We start from the raw sequence: 19599 nt of genomic DNA, 5'->3' as shown, positions 1-19599 counted from the left end.
AAAGGGTACATCTGGATGTTCTCCGCAGCCACGGTACCCCCGTGCCCCTCTCCCCACCCCGCACCCACCCCTACAGCCACCACAGCCCTCCTTTCAATCCTCCCGGGCGCAGCCCAGAAAACCCAAACAAAGGACCATAGACCGTCAAAGCCAAAGGGTTTATTATAGGTACATACAGTGTGCGCCCGCCACACCGCCCCACACCCCCGGGCCCCAGCGGCTTCTCCAGGCGGCCATGGGGACTGCCCACAACCCAATCCCCCGACTCCCCAGGGAGGTGCTCCAGCCAGAAGCATGCAGGGGTGGGCTTCCCCTCGCCCCTCCCCTCATGAAGTGGCATTTACAACTGGAGGGGGGAGGAGAGAGGAAAACAGTTTTGAGCTTTGACGCCCCTCCCATTAAAAGCCTTCGCGGATGCGGGGCGGGGGAGGAGGAGATCGACGTTTTGCAAAAATAAACTAAGTCAGGAATTAACCGCATGGCTCTGAGGCGGCGGAGTGCAGGGGGCTAGGGCCCCTTCACTCCCCCCTCCCAGACAGAGATCAAGGCAGCATTGGAAGTGAGGTAAAGGCGGGGAGGGGGTGTCCCCTCCCTGCCCCCTAGCACCCTGGATGGTCCAGGGGACCTCACCAGCGCCCCCGTGCCCATCCCTAGGGCAGAGAGGGGGGCAGGAATTACTGCCCCCACCACCCCAGCTTCTTGGGGCAGGATCTGCAGATCGGGGCTGGGGGCTTGGCTCAACTGGCCCCCTGCCCACCCCCATCAAGCTCAGTTATTGCATAAAAATAAGGGACCCCCAGCACCTGGGGTGGGGGTGGTGAGTGGGAAGGGGCCGAGATATGGCTATAGGGGCAGCAATCTCCCCACCACTTCTTGGGGTGCAGGAGAAGTCCCCTCCTTTCCGGTGCCCACCATGTCACGCGTCCTCAGTGTTGGAACTAGGGGCTCCCGCCCCTGCGGAAGAAAAAGTGTCTTTGTGCCCACAGTGCGGAAAAGAGGGGAGACGAGATGTGTCAGGTCCTGGGGGTGGGAAGTCACTTCCTGCGCCCGCTGGCCCTGCGATCTCCGCCTTCCCTCTTAGGGTTGCCCTCATCTGTGGATGAAGTAGTGGGTAGTGTCTGGCCCCAGCGGGCGATCTCTGCGTGTTCCGCCACCGAGGAAGCTACAGCCTCCAGCCAGCCGTTCATCTCCTCCTGGGGGAAGAAACAGGGCACAGAGGCCGTATTTGGAAGAGAGAAGCTGGAATAATAGGTGAATTTCAGATCAGACTACCCTCTCTGAAATTCAGTTTTCTCATCTATTAAAAAGGGATGATGATGATGATGCAGTTACATAGCAATATGTGCCAGGCTCTGTTCCAAACACTTTAGTGGATTAATTCCCTTAAACCTATGCAATAGGATTGTATATACTTCCTACTACAGAGATAAATGACACAAACAATGATAATAATATGGGCAGGCACTACTAGAGCACTGATATTTACTAGGCCCTGTGCTAAGTATCAGTTTATCATGTATCAATTAAACATGGAGCAATTTAATTCTCACAGTAACCCTATGATAAGAGACTTTTTTTTTTTTTTTTTTGAGACAGAGTCTTGCTCTGTCCCCCAGGCTGGAGTGCAATGGCTCGATGTCAGCTCACTGCAACCTCCATCTCCCAGGTTCAAGAGATTCTTGTGCCTCAGTCTCCTGAGTGTCTGGGACTACAGGCACGTGCCACCATGCCTGGCTACTTTTTGTATTTTTAGTAGAGATGGGGTTTCGCCACGTTGGCCACACTGGTCTTGAACTTCTGACCTCAAATGATCTGCCCACCTCAGCCTCCCAAAGTGCTGGAATTACAGGTGTGAGGCACCATGCCAGGCCAAGAAACTATTTTTAATCTTCATTGTGCAGATAAGTAAAAGAAGGCATGTAGTGGGTAAAGGCCTACTTCTGGCCGGGTGTGGTGGCTCATGCCTGTAATCCCAGCACTTTGGGAGGCTGAGGCGGGTGGATCACCTGAGGTCAGGAGTTTGAGACCAGCCTGACCAACATGGAGAAACCCCGTCTCTACTAAAAATACATAAATTAGCCGGGCATGGTGGCGCAAGCCTGTAATCCCAGTCACCCAGGTAGCTGAGGCAGGAGAGTCGCTTGAACCCGGGAAGTGGAGGTTGCAGTGAGCTGAGATTGCGCCATGGCACTCCAGCCTGGGTGACAAGAGAGAAACTCTGTCTCAAAAAAAAAAAAAGCCCACTTCTTCATTGCATCTTGTGAAGATTGAATGAGATAACAAGTGTTAGTTATTACTCTCAACATCTCTTCAAACCACCTTTATGCTTGCCTCTCTCAGACTCCTCTTCCTCCTCTCCCCACAGGCCTGTGTGGCCCAGCCATGCGCTCTCCCACTTGGGTCCCTGCCCTGGCCGCGGCCTGGGCTACCCACCCAGGTAGCCAAAGGAATCTTTTTTTGTTTTGTTTTGTTTTGTTTTGTTTTGTTTGTTTGTTTTGTTTTGAGATGGAGTCTCGCTCTGTCGCTCAGGCTGGAGTGCAGTGGCGCAATCTCAGCTCACTGCAAGCTCCACCTCCCGGGTTCAAGCCATTCTTCTGCCTCAGCCTCCCAAGTAGCTGGGACTACAGGCGCCCGCCACCATGCCCAGCTAATTTTTTTGTATTTTTAGTAGAGACGGGGTTTCACCGTGTCAGCCAGGATGGTCTCGATCTCCTGACCTTGTGATCTGCCCGCCTCGGCCTCCCAAAATGCTGGGATTACAGGCGTGAGCCACCATGCCCGGCCTGTTTATTTTGTTTTTGAGATGGAGTTTTGCTCTTGTTACCCAGGCTGGAGTGCAATGGCGCTGTCTCAGCTCACTGCAACCTCTGCCTTCCGGGTTCAAGCAATCCTCCTGCCTCAGCCTCCCGAGTAGCTGGGATTACAGGCATGCACCATAAGAGATGGGGTTTCTCCATGTTGGTCAGGCTGGCCTCAAACTCCTGACCTCAGGTGATCCACCCGCCTCGGCCTCCCGAAGTGCTGGGATTACAGGCGTAAGCCACTGCGCCCAGCCAGGAATCTTTTTTACACATCACTGTAATCCCCCCTAGCTCTCCAGTGCCCTTAGGTAAAAAATCCAATCTCCTCCAAATGGCCCATCCTGTCCTGAGACACCTATCTCCTGGGAACCTTTCTGGGACCTTCTTCCATGAACTCTGCCCTCCAGCAGTTAACCCTTTGCAATACTGCACCTCTGGTCCTCTGCACTTGCAGTTCCCTCTACCTAGATCACCCACCCCCTCTTGTTTTTGAGACAGAATCTCACTCTGTCACCCAGCCTGGAGTGCCATAGTACAATCACAGCTCATTGTAGCCTTGACCTCCCTGGTTCAGGTGATCCTTCCACTCGGCCTCCTGAGTAGCTGGGACCACAGGCATGTGCCACCACTCCCGGCTAATTTATTATTATTATTACCCATAGAGATGGGATCTTTCCGTGTTGCCCAGGCTGATCTTGAAGTCCTGGGCTCAAGCAGTCTCCTGCCTTGGCCTCCCAAAGTGCTGGGATTACAGGCCTGAGCCATGGTGCCCAACCTGAATCACTCCTTTTTTTAGACCCCCACTGTCCCTCTGAATCACCCTTTTTATTTTTATTTTATTTTCGAAGGAAGTCTCGCTGTTGTCCCCCAGGCTTGAGTGCAATGGCTCCATCTCAGCTCACTGCAACCTCCGCCTTCCAGGTTCAAACGATTCTCCTGCCTCTGCCTCCCAAGTAGCTGGGATTAAGGCACCTGCCACCATGCCCAGTTAATTTTTGTATTTTTTAGTAGAGACGGGGTTTCACCATGTTGGCCAGGCTGGTCTCAAACTCCTGACCTCAGGTGATCTGCCCGTCTTGGCCTCCCAAAGTACTGGGATTACAAGCGTGAGCCACCGCGCCTGGCCAAATCACCCCTTTTTAAAGCGAACTCCCTCCATTCCAGTCTCACCTGAGTGACCACGGCAAAGATGTTGGACTTTGTCATCAGGATCTGCAGGCAGCCCTCCCTGAAGCCCTTCCCACTCCCCACTGGGTTAGGAACCTCCTTTGGGCTCTCAGTGCCTGTGGGCTTTCCCATTACAGCCCTGATAACTCTGGCCTGTGAGTGTCCCTTCTCACAGCCCCATCACTCTGGGTCAGGAGCCAGACAGCCAGGTCATTACTGAGGTCCACACAGAGGGAGGAAAGGACCAGATCTCACCTCATCTTTTGCCTGGAGCAAAAACTCACTGCCATCCTGGGTCCTGCAGGAAGGGACACAGGACTTCAGAGATCTGGGGAAGGGGCCCAGCCCACCTGCCCACCAAGTGTCCCCCAGGGAAGCCAGGGTCCCACTGGGAGTTGAAGCTGAGCCTTGGATCCCTCCCTCCTGCCCATTGGGGGGCTCACTGGAGCTTGAAGACATGCTTCTTTTTCTTGTAGTCACTAGCCACCTCGCTGGTGGCCTTGTGCAGGCTGAGCAGCGGTTCCCCACCGTGTGTGCTCCCGGATGCCGGGCCCTTGGAGTCCTTGTAGAAGCCCAGTTCCCCCTTACTAAGCACACAGTACAGGCTCACCCACGACCTGGAGCGACAAGATGGGGCTCAAGGCAGAGCCGCAGCACTCTGCCTAATAACTCTTCATTAACATCCTCAAGGTCTGAATATGTCTGAGCCTTCCTACCTCTGGACCTTTGCGCCCTAGTTGCGCCCTAGTTGGACCTAAAATGCTCTTCCTTAAGGCTGTTGCTGCCCTGAGGGGAGCATTTAAGTCTCTCAGTATCAAGCCTTTGCCCAGGCTGAGATTTCCCTTCCTTATCCCCTCCCATACTGAATTTCCTGAAGGTAAGTCTTAAGCTGTCTCCTCCATAAGCCTTTGCTCCACTCAATCCTCCCCACTCATGGAGCTTTCTCAAGGAAAGTCTATTGGTCTACTGTCTGGAATAAAGAATTCCTGTCTCTCCAGTCATCCAAAGCCTCGATCCTGGAGGAATCCCTCCCAAAGCAAAACATACTAGGTGCCCTTGTTTATTCCTACCTTGGCATTAGGTACGAGGAAGAAAGACCACCTACAGATTCCACTAGCAAAATCTGAATCTGTCCTGCCCACTTCATATCTTGGGACTCACTCCATTACTGGCCGGTGATACCCCTTTTTGGCTCCACTTGTCCCCAGATTCTGCCTCTCAGTTGGACAAAAAGAGGGTGGACAAGCAGGAGCTGGACTCCCCAAGAGCAGGCACATCATGGCTAGACCCTCATTTGGAAACCTGTAAGAGATGACTCCCCCTTCCCAACCCCTACCCTCATTAGTTTGGGCTCTGCCCGTTTTCGGACCCTCCCCCAATTTGAAACTTCAAGGGTAGACCCACCCCACTCATTGGTTGAGTGACCTCTCCAAGCTCCACGACAAGCCATTGAAACCTTCTCAACTAGATGCCTCCCTCTTTGCTATTTAGCTGATCAACTCCTGGGTTGGTTGCTAAGAGGTTAGGTTCCAATTTACTCACTTTCAGAACATTTTCCTTCTGTTCCCACCTAAGCTCTACCCATCATCCATTAGATGCACTAACCTTAGGTCCTGCCCCTTCCTGTTCATTGGTTGGAATCATCAAAGTTGAGCCCCACCCCTCATCTGGCCCCACCTACTACCCCCACGGGTTGGAGGGCCTGACGTTAAACCACACCCCCTCCTGCTCATTGGTTGGCTTTCTTGATTTAAGCCACCACCACCCCCCAGCTCTGGCCCCACCTACTACCGCCACCTGCTGGAGGGCCTGAAGTTGAGCCACACCCCCTCCTCAGTCCCACCGCTCCACGCAATGGTCACCCTGAGCCTGAGACCCGCCTTCCAAAGCCCCGCCCACACGCTCACCGGTTGGACGACTTGCGGTTAGCGTCGAGCTCGCGCTTGCGCAGTAGGAAGCCCTCGTGCTGCACTGTGTGAGTGGGCGGTGGCGGAGGCGCGGGGGCGGAGCCGCCCTGGGCCGGGGCGGAGCGCGAGCGCCGGCTTCCCCCGCCCTCACCACCCTCTCTGGGCCGCGGCCGCCGTCGCGGCTTGGGCCGGTCCCGCGCCCGGGGCCGGTCCGGCCGAGGTGTCCGCTCGGGCAGCTCAAGCCCGTTGGGCAGGCGACCTGGGGGAAGCTCGCGTGGCTGAGGCAGCGACGGCTGTGTGAAGGGAGGGGGAAGAGGGGTGCTGTCCATGGAGAGGGTGTGGGGGTCATCTGTTTGGGGGAGTCATGGGTCTGGGGTCCCATCTGTCTACAGGGCCATTTGTCTCGGAGGCGAGTATGGGAGGACCTCAGGGTTGGAGGCCCAATTCTTAGGGCCCCATGGGTCTTGGGAGTGAGTCTGTTAGGACTCATTGGTTTGGAATCTCTCTCGGTGGTGGAAAGAGGCAGCCAGATCTCTGGAGGTGGGGGTGCAAGCAGGGCGTGTCCCCACTGTCTGCAGGAGAAACCTGGGGCTTCCTTCTGTGTGTGTGTGTATGAGGCTATGAAGAAATTTGGGACCCCACTGAGCTGAAGAAATACGGAGTCCAGGACAGATGTGGGAAGAGTCTGTGTGTGTGTGTCTGTGTGTGTATCTGTGTCTGTGTGTCTGTGTGTGTGTGTCTGTGTGTGTGTGTCTGTGTGTGTGTGTGTGTGTGTGTGTGTGTGTGTGTGTGGAGGGGCAGTAGGGGTCTCTTAGGTAGGTGCCCCGTCTTTCTAAGGGGGACATTTTCAGATTCTGGGGACCCTGAGAGTCCATGCTGTCTCTGCAGGGTCCAGGTAGGGAATGGGTCCTGCCAGGGCTAGGCACTGGCTGTTTCTGAGATCCTGCCTCCTGCTCTGAAAAAGGGGTCCTCCTATCCCCACCCATCCGAGGCTCAACTTACCCCAGCAGGCAGCCCTGGGCCTGCCTCTTTCTCCTGCAGCTGTTCCACAATGTCAGCCAGGGTGGCCTTCCTGGGGGATGGGGGACAGAAAGACCCAGTGAAACCAGGGTTCCTTCTCCCATGGACCTGTCTGGCTGGGCAGAGGAGCCTCCACTTCTTAGCTGGAAGTGCCAGGCCCCTGCCCACTTCTGCAGCTGTTTCTCTCAGATGCTCGCCTTAGGTACCACAGGTGTTTGGGACGTGTCTGCTGAATGGAAGACCAAACCTCTCGCCCCTTTGAATTTTTTTTTTTTTTTTTTTGAGACGGAGTCTTTCTCTGTTGCCCAGGCTGGAGTGTAGTGGTGCATGATCTCGGCTCACTGCAACCTCTGCCTCCTGTGTTGAAGCGATTCCCCTGCCTCAGCCTCCCAAGTAGCTGGTACTACAGGCGTGCGCCACCATGCCGGCTAATTTTTGCATTTTTAGTAGAGACAGGGTTTTGCTATATTGGCCAGGTTGGTCTCGAACTTCTGACCTCAAGTGATCTGCCCGCCTCAACCTCCCAAAGTGCTGAGATTACAGGCGTGAGCCACCGCGCCCAGATGCCCCTTTGAATTTTAAGCAGCACAAAGAACAACTTGCAAACGTTGCCTTTCTCCACCCACCCCTGACTCTCCAGTCCCCCAATCGCCCCCATTCCAGCCCAGATAATTCTCGGTCATCATTGATGACAAGCCTGTTTTTCCCAATGGACTGTGAGTCTCTAAAGTCAGGGATGGGACTGGTTCAGTCACCGCTCGACTCAGCACATGCCAGGCAGAGTGGGCACTCAGCAAATGTTCATGAAATGTGCAATTTAAAAAGAATCAAGAAGTCATTGTCTCCTGACCAAAGGCCTCTTTCTGGAGACACACTCAGCTGACTGGACAGATCTGCACAACACACACTGGCCAACTCTGGATTCTGAAAGTCCTGGTTCGTTTAAGCTGAGTGACTTGCCCTTTTTGTGCCTCAGTTGCCCTAGTCATACAATGGAGAAGACAACAGCCCCCACTTCATAAGGCTGCTGAGAGAATTGTGATAAAGGGTCTCCTCTCCAATCAAGGAGGTGAGGGTTCCACCATTAGCCCAGTGGGCAAACTGAGGCACAGAGAGGACAAAATCCCTGCCTCGGGGCACCCGGGAGACTTGATGCAGGAGTCACAACCCAGGGGCCGAGAACCTACGTCTGGAGAAAGGCAGTCTGCCTTTTCTTTCAACAGGAAGGGCTCCCCTTTCTGTGTAACAATGGGCACATCGATTATCTTGCAGCTTCAGTTTACACCTCTGCAAAATGGGTACCGCGGCGATATCTCCTTCTTTGGGAAGTTCTGAGCCCTGAAGCCCTTTCACTGGGCCTGAGGGGTTCTAGGAGCTCTCCGCTTTCCCCTCCCCTCACTTTCTGGTCATAAGGCGGGCACCTCACCCCTTGACCAGGTCTCCTCTGATGGGCATCTCCTGTTCGCTGGACTCCTGCCGCTCCAAGCGCCGCTCACGCCGCTCGCGCCGCCGCTCCATCTGCTCATAGCGGCCCAGGGTAAGGCTGTGTGCCGCCTCGTGCTCCGCTGACTCCTGCCGCTCCGGCCGCCGCCTCCGCGCAGCCTCCTCGGATTGATCGACTGACTCTTGCCGCTCAGGCCGCCGCCTCCTGGGCAGCTCCTCCGCGCGATCAGCTGACTCCTGGCGCTCCGGTCGTGGCCGCACCTGCTCCGCCGCCGCGGGGGTCGCGGGGGTCTCCGCCGCGTCCTCTGGTGCGGCCGGCAGGGCCGCGGGCTCCACCCTCCCCGGGATCTCCGGCAGCCGGTCAATGCGCGGCTGGAGGCGCTCGGGCTTGAGCTCCTGGCGCACATACCCCACCCGAGTCCGCACCTCGGCCGAGAGCGTGTCCGAGGCTCGGCGGGCCAGGGGCTCCAAGCCCCTTTCATAGCCCCCTGGCCGCAGCAGGGGCGCCGCCTTGGCCGCCAGTTCCGTGGGGTCCCCAAAGAACTTGCGCCCCAGCAGTGGGGTAGGCGGCTGCTTGCTCTGTTCCGCTTTGATTTTCTCGATCTGAGGATGGAGGGACCAGGGTTAGGTTGGAGGCGTGGGGCCGGGGCGGGGTAAGGGGGAGGTCCGGGGAGGCGGCCTGGGTTTTTCTGCCTCATCACTCAATTGACCAGTTCCTTGAAAAAGCAAGGTGTCCAGGCCTGTGCGATGCTTTGCTCTCTGCCAAGAACTTAAAGCCTATTCTCTCCGGCAAACACCTATTGCTCTTTTAAGAATTGGCTAAATCACTTTTTTAAAAATTGGGTAAATCAATTGCTCTGCGTGCCTTTCTGACTCCCATTTCTCCTTCCTTAATGTCCCCCCACCCAGGACTTTAAGACTTTATTTATTTATTTATTTATTTATTTATTTATTTATTTATTTATTTTTGAGACAGTCTTGCTCTGTCGCCCAGGCTGGAGTGCAAGCAGCAAGATCATAGCTCATTGCAGCCTTGACCTCCAGTGCTCAAGTGATCCTCGAGTCTCAGTCACCCCTCTGAGTAGCTGGGACTACAGGCACGTGCCATCACGCCTGGCTGTTTTTTCTTTGTTTGCTTTTGGTTTTGGTAGAGACGGCTTCTCAGTATGTTGCCAAGGCTGGTCTTGAACTCCTGGGTTCAAGTGATCCTCCCGCCTAGGCTTCCAAAGAGAGTACAGGTGTGAGCCACCCCACCCAGCCTTTAAGCGGTTTTTTTTTGTTGTTTTTTTTTTATTGTTGTTGTTGTTTTGAGATGGAGTCTTGTTCTGTTACCCAGGCAGTGGCACGATCTTGGCTCACTGCAACCTCTGCCTCCCAAGTTCAAGTGATTATCCTGCCTCAGCCTCCCGAGTAGCTGGGATTACAGGCGTGCACCACCACGCCCAGCTAATTTTTGCATTTTTAGTAGAGATGGGGTTTCACCACGTTGGCCAGGCTGGTCTCAAACTCCTGGCCTCAAGTGATCCACCCATCTTGGTCTCCCAAAATGCTGGGACTACAGGCATGAGCCGTCACACCTGGCCTAATCCTTTTTATTACTACATTCTCTTCACCTAATTATTCAAGTCTCAGAATAGAATCCCCCAGGCCAGTTCCCCCTCCCACTCCCCCATCCCAGGCACTATCCCTCTGCTTGTTCTTCCCCTATCACATCCCTGACATTCTGGGCTGTCACTGGTGACAGGTCTGTCCCTCTGCTCCACTGGGAGCCTAGCAAGAGTCTGTCTTGGCACTCACACAACACAGGACCAAGCACCATGTCTCGGTGTGTCTGTCTCATATAGAGCCATGGGTGTGGGGGTCTTGGTGGGGGTGGGGGTAATGGGGCAGTATCTGGGGAGCTGACCGTGGTCAGGCGCCGCAGAGAGCTGAACCTCTCTTCCCAGGCTGCAGCCGCTTTGCGGAAGGCCTCATGTCGCCGGATAAGCTGCTCCACCTCATCCACGCTGCTGCCCAGCTCCCGGCTCTGCAGGAGCGGCTCCTGGGCTGTCAGCCAGGCATCAGCCACCACCGCCTCCTGGGCAAACTGGTGCACCTCCAGCACTGAGGAGGGGCATGCAGGGTAAGGATTCTGGGGCATCTGGGGCCCTTCCTGGGGGCAATGGCTGTTCCCCTGGCCTTCCACACCCCTCCGGCTTTCCATACCCGAGCCCTGACCATCCTGGGCTCTGCAGGAATGGCAGAGGCTGGGGCTATTTCAGTGGGCATCATTCCTCCTTTCTGACTCCCATTCCTCCTTCCTTAATGTCCCCCCACCCAGGACTTTAAGACTTTTTTTTCAAGGGTGGGTATTCAATGGCAAGGCAGCCCCCTTGTCCACCCTTCCAGGCCCTTATGTTTGCTTCTGGAGACCCATGGGTAGGGTGCAAAGCATGCTCCTGTCACCCTCTGGGCCTTGGCTGGACAGGCTGGAGCATGTCCCTGTGCCCTTGAACCACGTGTGCCTGGGCCCCCACTCACTCTGCTGCAGCCACTCCCAATGGCGGTCCCACTTTTCCGACACCTCCTCCTTCCTGGTTCCCAGCTTGTCCAGCTGTGCCTGGATCTGGGAGTGGCAGGTGGGTGGGAGGGAAGTCAGGGTGTGGAATGGCTTCCACCCCAATGTGCCCGGGTGGCAGAGGGGGACCCCCTCCCTGCTCCCCACCTCATCAGCCATGGCACTTTTGTTGAGCAGCAGAGATCGCCCCAGCTCCTGGCAGGTGGTCAGCTCAGGCACCCGCGCCTCCAGCTCAGTCTTCAGGCCCTGGTGGTAGTTCATGAGCACCTCCACTGATGACACGTCCCTGCAGTGGGTGGCAGGCAGGGATCTGAGCCACAGGGAGCCTCCTCAGCCTGCCCCATACATGTGGCTCCTGGTGACCCCAAATCCTTGAGGCTGACATCCCATACCACCTCAAGACACTTACTTTCTTTTCTTTTCTTTTCTTTTCTTTTTTTTTTTGAGATAAAGTCTCACCCTATGGCCCAGGCTGGAGTGCAGTGGGGCGATCTCGGCTCACTGCAAACTCCACCTCCCGAGTTCAGGCGATTCTCCTGCCTCAGCCTCCTGAGTAGCTGGGATTACAGGCACCTGCCACCACGCCCAGATAATTTTTATATTTTTAGTAGAGATGGGGTTTCTCCATGTTGGCCAGGCTGGTCTTGAACTCCTGACCTCAGGTGATCCTCCCATCTCAGTCTCCCAAAGTGCTGGGATTACAGGCGTTGAGTCACCAAACCAGACTGAGACACCTACTTTCGATGACCAAATTCTGAGGGTCCATGGTTCACTAATTCAATGATTCAAATTTTCCAAGTTTCTAAAATTTCACACTTTGGTGATTCTAACCTTCTAGGATTTCAAGATCCAAATTTTCCTTTTTTTTTTTTTTAATAGGGTCTTGCTCTGTTGCCCAGACTGGAGTGCAGTGGCAAGATTGCAGCTCACTTCAGTCTCAACCTCCTGGGCTCATGCAATCCTCCTGCCTCAGCCTCCTGAGTAGCGGGGACCACAGGTGCACACCATCACACCCAACTAATTTTTCATTTTCTGTAGAGACAGGGTCTTGCTATGTTGCCCAGGCTGGTCTCAAACCCCTGGGCTCAAGCAATCCACCTGCCTCAGCCTCCCAAAGTTCAAGGCTATGGGCATAAGCCACCACACCCAGCCAAGATCCAAATTTTCAAACTTTTTCTAGCTATGCTTCTGAAGGTTCCACTAGCCAATGATTTTAACGTTCCAAGTCTGTGCTCTCCAAGGCAGTAGCCACTAGACATGTGAGCACTTGAAATGTGGCCAGTCTGAATTTTGGTGTAAAGTGTAAAATGCACACCAGATTTTGTGGAGTTAATGTAAAAAAGAATGTAAAATGTCTCATTAATAGTTTTTTGTTGTTGTTGTGCAGTGGTGCGATCTCCGCTCACTGCAACCTCCCCCTTCTAGGTAGGTTCAAGCGATTCCCCTGCCTCAGCTTCCTGAGTAGCTGGGATTACAGGCACCTGCCACCATGCCTGGCTAATTTTTTTGTATTTTTAGTAGAAACAGGGTTTCAACATGTTTGTCAGGCTGGTCTCAAACTCCTGACCTCAGTTGATCCGCCTGCCTAGGCCTCCCAAAGTGCAGGGATTACAGGCGTGAGCCACCGCACCCAGCCTTTGTTTGTTTGTTTGTTTGTTTTTGAGACAGAGATTTGCTCTTCTTGCCCAGGCTGGAGTGCAATGGCGTGATCTTGGCTCACTGCAGCCTCCACCTTCTGGGTTCAAGCAATTCTCCTGCCTCAGCCTCCCGAGTAGCTGGGATTACAGGTGCCCGCCACCAAGCCTGGCTAATTTTTTGTTCTGTATTTTCAGTAGAGATGGATTTTTGGCATGTTGGCCAGGCTGGTCTCGAACTTCTGGCCTCAGGTGATCCGCCTGCCTTAGCCTCCCAATCTCAGCCGAGATTACAGGCATGAGCCACTGCGCCTGGCCTCATTAATAGTTTTGTTTCTTTGTTTTGGTTGTTGTTGTTTTTGAGATGGAGTCTCCTTCTGTCACCTAGGCTGGACTGCAGTGGTGCGATCTCCGCTTGGCTGAGATTGGGAGGCTGAGGCGGGCGGATCACCTGAGGCCAGAAGTTCGAAACTGCCTGGCCTCATTAATAGTTTTAATATTGACTACCTGTTGAAGTGATAATACTTTGGGTATGTCAGGTTAAATAAAAATGTATTACTAAAATTAAGTTTCATTTGCTTTGCTTTGTTAGTATGGCCACAAGAAGATTTTAAAGTATATATGTGGCTCGCATTTGTGGCTCGTGTTATATAACTATTGGACAGCACCATTCTAAGCCATCTTATGTCCAAAACAAATTCCAAGTTTCTGAAGGTTCCATCAGTTGGCAATCATAGCTTCATGCTATGGTTTGAATCTACCACCTGGGCTTAAGTGATCATCCTGGCTTAGCCTCCAGGGTAGCTGGGACTACAGGCATGCACCACAATGCCCAGCTAATTAAAAAAAAAAAATTTTTTTTTAAGACAGAATCTCGCTCTGTCACCCAGGCTGGAGTGAAATGGCATAATCATGGCTCACTGCAGCCTGACCCTCCTGGACTCAAGTGATCCTCCTCCCTCAGACTCCCAAGTAGCTGGGACAACAGGCATGCACACCACCATGCTTGACTAATTTTTTTCTTTTTTGTAGAGATGGGGTCTCACTATGTTGCGTAGGGTAGTCTCAAACTCCTGGCCTCAAGTGATCCTCTTGCCTTGGCCTCCCAGTGTTGGGATTACAGGCGTGAGCCACCTCTTTTGGCTAGATTGGCCAAATGTTGATGGTTGTTCAAGCCAAGTGTTCACGATACACATGTGGGTTACCTTTACTTCCCTGTATATTTAATTTTTTTTTTTTTGAGATGGAATTTCGCTCTTGTTGCCCAGGCTGGAGTGCAATGGCACAATCTTGGCTCACCGCAACCTCCGCCTCCTGGGTTCAAGCAATTCTCCTGCCTCAGCCTCCCAAGTAGCTGGGATTACAGGCATGTGCCACCACACCCGGCTAAGTTTGTATTTTTAGTAGAGATGAGGTTTCTCTATGTTGGTCAGGCTGCTCTCGAACTCCCGACCTCAAGTGATCCACCCACCTCAGCCTCCCAAAATGCTGGGATTACAGGTGTGAGCCACTGTGCCCAGCCTTTTTTTTTTTTTTTTTTTTTTTGACACAGAGTCTCGCTCTGTTGCCCAGGCTGGAGTGCAGTGGTACGATCTCAGCACACTGCAACCTCCACCTTCCAGGTTCAAGCAATTCTCCTGCCTCAGCCTCCCCAGTAGCTGGGACTACAGGCACATGCCACAACACCCAGCTAATTTTTGTATTTTTAGTAGAGGCGGGGTTTCGCCACATTGGCCAAGCTGGTCTCAAAGTCCTGTCCTCAAGTGATCCACCCGCCTTGGCCTCCCAAAGTGCTGGGATGACAGGTATAAGCCACCATGCCCGGCCTATTTTTCTCAAATGTACACATCACATCACTCCACTCTGCTCTAAACTCTCGCATGGCTCCCACGTTCCTCATAGAGAAGGCATGCTCCTCACCATGTGTGGTTTCCAGGGCCCCAGTGCCCCTCTGTACTCACTTCCTCTCACCCTACACTCCCTCACTCCCTCCCTCCATCTGGCCACAGTGATCTCTAGCTTTTCCTCACACATGCCTAACTACAGCCCACTTCTGGGCCCTTGCACTTGTGGGTCCCTCCACCTAGAAAACTCTTCCCTCAAAACTTTACCTGACTCACCCATCACTTCATTCAGGTCTCCAGTCAAACGCACATCCTCAGAGAGACTTTGCCAGCTATCATTCCCTTCCTATGTATGTATATATACCCACGCTATATTTCATTTTTTTTTCTTTTCTTTTTTTTTTTTTTGAGACGGAGTTTTGCTCTTGTCACCCAGGCTGGAGTGCAGTGGCACGATCTTGGCTCACTGTGACCTCCACCTCCCGGGTTCAAGCGATTCTCCTGCCTCAGCCTCCCAAGTAGCTGGGATTACAGGTGTCCACCACTATGCCTGGCTAATTTTTGTATTTTTAGTAGAGACGGAGTTTTGCCATGTTGGCTAGGCTGGTCTCAAACTCCTGAGCTCAGGTGATCTGCCTGCCTCAGCCTCCCAAAGTGCTGGGATTACAGGCGTGAGCCACTGTGCCCCATCCCCATGCTATATTTCAGAAAGTAATAAGTGCTATGAGAATGCAATCTGTCTCAGGGCAAGTGCTTGGCCTTGCTCACCACATGGCACACCATATGCATTTAATACATATTTGCTGAGTAAATGAATGCAGGCTGCAGGATCTGCATTCCCAGAAGCAATGCCAGGTGTCCCTGATTCCCTAGGTCCTTTTCTTCCTAGCCACACCATGAAACTAAATTTCCAGCCTAGGTCAGGCACGGTGGCTTATGCCTGTAATCCCAGCACTTTGGAAGGCTGAGGCAGGTGGACCACTTGAGGCCAGGAGTTTGAGACCAGAGTGGCCAACACGGTGAAACCCTTTCTCTACTAAAAATACAAAATTAGCCAGACGTGGTGGTGGGCGCCTGTAGTCCCAGCTACTTGGGAGGCTGAGGCAGGAGAATCGCTTGAACCTGGGAGACGGAGGTTGCAGTGAGGTGATATTGTGCCACTGCACTCCAGCCTGGGCAACAGAGCAAGACTCCATCTCAAGAGAAAAAAAAATTTGCAGCCTCCCTGGCAGACAGGTTAGGCCACCGGGCTGGCAGTGTGTGGGTGCCGGCTTTATCCCTAAAACCTTCTGTGTGATCCTCCTGCTATCTTTTCCCATCTGCAGCGGGATGCAGAGGGTCCAGCATGTGACTCCCAGGGTGGCATGATGGAAGGACCCTGGCTCCCAATCACCAGGGGACAGGATTCTGCTGGACACTCACATCCAACCACTATGTGAGCAATAAGCCCATGCCCACTAATGAAGCCACTGAGATGCTGGAATTGTTAGAATTCTTCACCCACCCTCACAAATACAGTCCCACACCTCCCTTGCCCATCCTGTCTTTAGCCTGTTTCATGCTGTGACATCCCATGGAGAGGGTAATAATAGGCAACTGGGAAGGACAGCGGACAGAAGGATGCCCCATGACCGAAGTCCCCAATGACAGGCCTAAAAAAGGGGTCTGAATACACACGAAGCACCTAGAACAGTGCCTAGCACACAGAGGCGCCACACAGATATTGGCTGTTGTCATTCCATTGAGAAGGGGGCTGTCAATGGGCTGGGGGTGGCTGGGGTAGGCCACCAGGGGGAGGCAGGAAGCCCGAGGAGGGATGAGGGGCACCTGGGCTTGTCGGCTGCCCCAATCTGGCTGGCGATGCCATCCATCCAGGAGAGCAGGTCGCGGACTTGGCTGTGGAAGCGCAGGGCGTCGGCTGTGGAGCTGACATGCAGGCGGGCATCCTCACAGGCTGACAGCAGCTCTTTCCAACCCTGCAGCACCTCCTGCTCCCGGCTAGCGATGGCCTCGGCATGTTCACCCGCATACACCGTCCGCAGCTGGGCCGCCCCCTCCTGCAGCTGCCGTACCTGAAGGGCATGCCAGGTCGGGCGCCAGCCCTCCACGGGGCCCAGGCTGTGCCCTCCCTCCCACCATCTGCTCCAGCGCAGAACCTCAAGATATAAGGAGCCTCACACTGTGATCCCACAGCCAGGCTCCTGTCATATCTGCTGCCTGATTTCTCTTTGACTTACCCGCATTCTGACTTCTTTTAGATCTACTACCACATCTCTTTCAACCCACTGCCTGATTTCTTTTGGTCTGAGAGCTTTATTTCTATTGGGTCTGCCACCTGTGTTTTCAGGCAGGCCCACCCCTACCTTGGGTCTTTCAGGAAACCCCTTTCCACTTTGATGTCTTTTAGATGTGCTAATTTTTTTTTAACTCAGTTTATTTCAAACCCACTCCTTCATAGTAGCCCAGTTTCCTACACGACGGCTGTTCAATTGCCATTACTCCCCTGCCCAATTTCCATTCATTCTGCTGTATGAGCTCTGCTCACTCTATCTTTTGGGTTTTGGGTTTTTTGTTTGTTTTTCTGAGACAGGGTCTTGCTCTGTTGCCCAGGCTGCAGTGCAGTGGCACAAACACAATTCACTGCAGCCTTGACATCCCGGGCTCAAGTGATCCTCCTGCCTCAGCCTACTAATAGCTGAACTACAGGTGCATGCCACTGTATCAGGATATATACATATATGTTGTAATAGAGATGGAGTCTTACTATGTTGCCCAGGCTCATCTTGAACTCCTGGGCTCAAGCAATCCTCCCAGGTTGGCCTCCCAAAGTGCTGAGATTATAGGCATAAGCCACTGTGCTCAGCCTGCTGCTCACTCTGTTGGTTCAATCTCCTGATTTATTTTGGTGTGACCTCCCCATCTCTAACAGATCCACCACTTATTACTATGAATCTCTCAGCCTGATTTCTAAGTCATTTGTAGGATTTATAAAAAATAACTGGGCTGGGCGCGGTGGCTCATGCCTATAACCCCAGCACTTTGGGAGGCCAAGGCGGGCAGATCACTTGAGGTCAGGAGTTCAAGATCAGCCTGGCCAACATGGTGAAACCCCATCTCTACTAAAAATACAAAAATTAGCTGGGTGTGGTGGCTTGCACCTGTAGTCCCAGCTACTCGAGGCTGAAGTGGGAGAATTGCTTGAACCCGGGAAGCAGAGGTTGCAGTGAGCCGAGATTAGACCACTACACTCCAGCCTGGGTGACAAAGAGAGACTCTGCCTCATAATAATAATAATAATAATAATAATAATAATAATAATTGCCAGCTGGGCATAGTAGCTCATGCCTGTAATCCCAGCACTTTGGGAGGCCGAGACGGGTAGATCACCTGAGGTCAGGATTTCGAGGCCAGCCTGGCCAACATGGTGAAATCCCGTCTCTACTAAAAATATAAAAATTAGCCAGGTGTGGTGGCGCGTGCATGTAATCCCAGCTATTTGGAAGGCTGAGGCAGGAGAATCGCTTAAGCCTGGGAGGCAGAGGGTGCAGTGAGCTGAGATCGCGCCACTGCACTCCAGCCTGGGTGACAGAGTGAGACCCTGTCTCAAAAATAAACAAACAAACAAACAAAAATTGCCCAACTTCTACCTTCCATTAGAACTGCAACCCAATTTCCTGCTGCCTGAGTTGTATTGGGCCTGCAGCTTCATTTCCATCTGACTGCTCAGATCCACATCCGAATTCTGGCCAGAACCTCTGCCTAATTTCTAATATCTCTGTTGCCTTTTTCATTAAATTCGCCCCCATCAAATTAATTTCAGAAAAGTCATATGATTTCCATCAGAGACCTGTTATCTAAGTTCTTTTTTTTTTTTGAGATGGAGTCTCACTCTGTCGCCCAGGCTGGAGTGCAGTGGCGCGATCTCGGCTCACTGCAACCTCCGCCTCCCGGGTTCAAGCGATTCTCCTGCCTCAGTCTCCTGTGTAGCTGGGATTACAGGTGCCCGCCACCATTCCTGCTAATTTTTGTATTTTTAGTAGAGACGGGGTTTCATCATGTTGGTCAGACTGGTCTTGAACTCCTGACCTCATGATCTGCCCGCCTCGACCTCCCAAAGTGTTGGGATTACAGGCGTGAGCCACCGCACCTGGCCTTGTCTGTCGTCTAATTTCTATCTACACCACAGCCAAATTCCTCTCAGACTTCTCAAAATTCCCTTTAGACCCTTGATCTGGATTTAGGCAAAACTCACAGTTTTAGGAGAACCACTGCCCAATATCTATTGGAAGCTTTTTTTTTTTTTTTTTTTTTTGAGACAGAGTATCACTCTTGTCACATAGGCTGGAGTGCAATGGCGAGATCTGGGCTCACTGCAACCTCCTCCTCCCGGGTTCAAGTGATTCTCCTGCCTCAGCCTCCCAAGTAGCTGGGATTACAGGTGCCCGCCACCAGACCTGGCTAATTTTCGTATTTTTAGTAGAGATGGGGTTTCACCACGTTGACCAGGCTGGTCTTAAACTCCTGACCTCAGATGATCCGCCTGCGTTGGCCTCCCAAAGGGAGCCACCACGCCCAGCCAGAAGCTGTTTAATATCTGTGAGACCTTCTAAGGTACCACTTTTCCCTGCCAATACCTGATTTCTATATATCATTCCATCAGTCCATTTTCTATCTGCTCCATTATCTAATTTCTTCCTGTTCTGTAGTCCGCTTTCTGTCTGTGCCACTGCCTAATTTCGACCTGCTCCACAGCCTGATTTTTGCCCACTCTGCTGCCCACAGCTGTCCAGGCCCTCCCACCTGCCCTGATGGCCACCGGCGCCCCACCTGGGACACGAGGAGCTGCAGGTCATGCTCAAAGGCTCTCAGGGTCCGCTGCATGGAACTGGCACTGGGTCTCGGCTCAGGCGGGGTGGTCAGGCGGGGCAGCCGCCTCCGCTTCTCCTCAATCTGTCCCTGAAGCTCTCGGGCGTCACTGAAGAACTTATGAAGCTCCCGAGAGGCGGCCAGCAGCTGGGCCCGTGTGCCCATGAGCTCCAGCAGCTCAGCCCAGGCCTCGTTCAGTCCGTCCTTCCACTCGGCCATGGTGGCCGCTGCTGTATGGCCACACTCGATCAGCTCATCCACCATCTGGTTCACAGCTGCCAGCCGTTCCCGCCCTGCCATACCTGTCTCGCTGGCAAACTCTGAGAATTTCTCCTGCAGCACCTGCCATCAGGAAGTGGG

General features: G+C 53.2%; 1 protein-coding gene across 5 annotated transcripts in view, besides 3 other annotated features; it reads right to left on the bottom strand.

Annotated features, from left to right (window-relative positions):
* SPTBN4 (spectrin beta, non-erythrocytic 4) overlaps positions 140–19599 on the bottom strand; it is a 109464-nt gene continuing 90004 nt past the window's right edge. For 3 of the 5 annotated variants that reach the window (NM_020971.3, XM_017027049.2, XM_017027050.2), the window contains 11 exons: positions 19201–19581; positions 16201–16445; positions 11043–11181; positions 10859–10943; positions 10245–10441; positions 8322–8941; positions 6878–6947; positions 5876–6168; positions 4412–4585; positions 4224–4266; positions 140–1193 (listed from right to left, as the gene is read on the bottom strand). In NM_020971.3, coding sequence (NP_066022.2) covers positions 1035–1193; positions 4224–4266; positions 4412–4585; positions 5876–6168; positions 6878–6947; positions 8322–8941; positions 10245–10441; positions 10859–10943; positions 11043–11181; positions 16201–16445; positions 19201–19581 — 2406 coding nt within the window. In that variant the 3' untranslated portion in view covers positions 140–1034. Of the gene's footprint in view, positions 1194–4223; positions 4267–4411; positions 4586–5875; positions 6169–6877; positions 6948–8321; positions 8942–9266; positions 9554–10244; positions 10442–10858; positions 10944–11042; positions 11182–15848; positions 16446–19200; positions 19582–19599 lie in introns of those variants that run through there. The other 2 variants (XM_017027051.2, NM_025213.3) reach the window with 2 other exon arrangements.
* Positions 253–342: a silencer, noted in NCBI's record as "silent region_10633". NCBI's record gives its function as "represses an Ori minimal core promoter by ATAC-STARR-seq in GM12878 lymphoblastoid cells {active_cell/tissue: GM12878}" and the evidence as "EXISTENCE:reporter gene assay evidence [ECO:0000049][PMID:35858748]".
* Positions 5539–6108: a silencer, noted in NCBI's record as "silent region_10632". NCBI's record gives its function as "represses an Ori minimal core promoter by ATAC-STARR-seq in GM12878 lymphoblastoid cells {active_cell/tissue: GM12878}" and the evidence as "EXISTENCE:reporter gene assay evidence [ECO:0000049][PMID:35858748]".
* Positions 6339–6408: an enhancer, noted in NCBI's record as "active region_14656". NCBI's record gives its function as "activates an Ori minimal core promoter by ATAC-STARR-seq in GM12878 lymphoblastoid cells {active_cell/tissue: GM12878}" and the evidence as "EXISTENCE:reporter gene assay evidence [ECO:0000049][PMID:35858748]".

Source organism: Homo sapiens, chromosome 19, assembly GCF_000001405.40.
Source record: "Homo sapiens chromosome 19, GRCh38.p14 Primary Assembly".
In the NCBI taxonomy this organism is placed as follows: Eukaryota; Metazoa; Chordata; class Mammalia; order Primates; family Hominidae; genus Homo; species Homo sapiens.
Note: the sequence above shows the minus strand (reverse complement) of the source record. Positions and strands in the feature narration are given on the sequence as shown.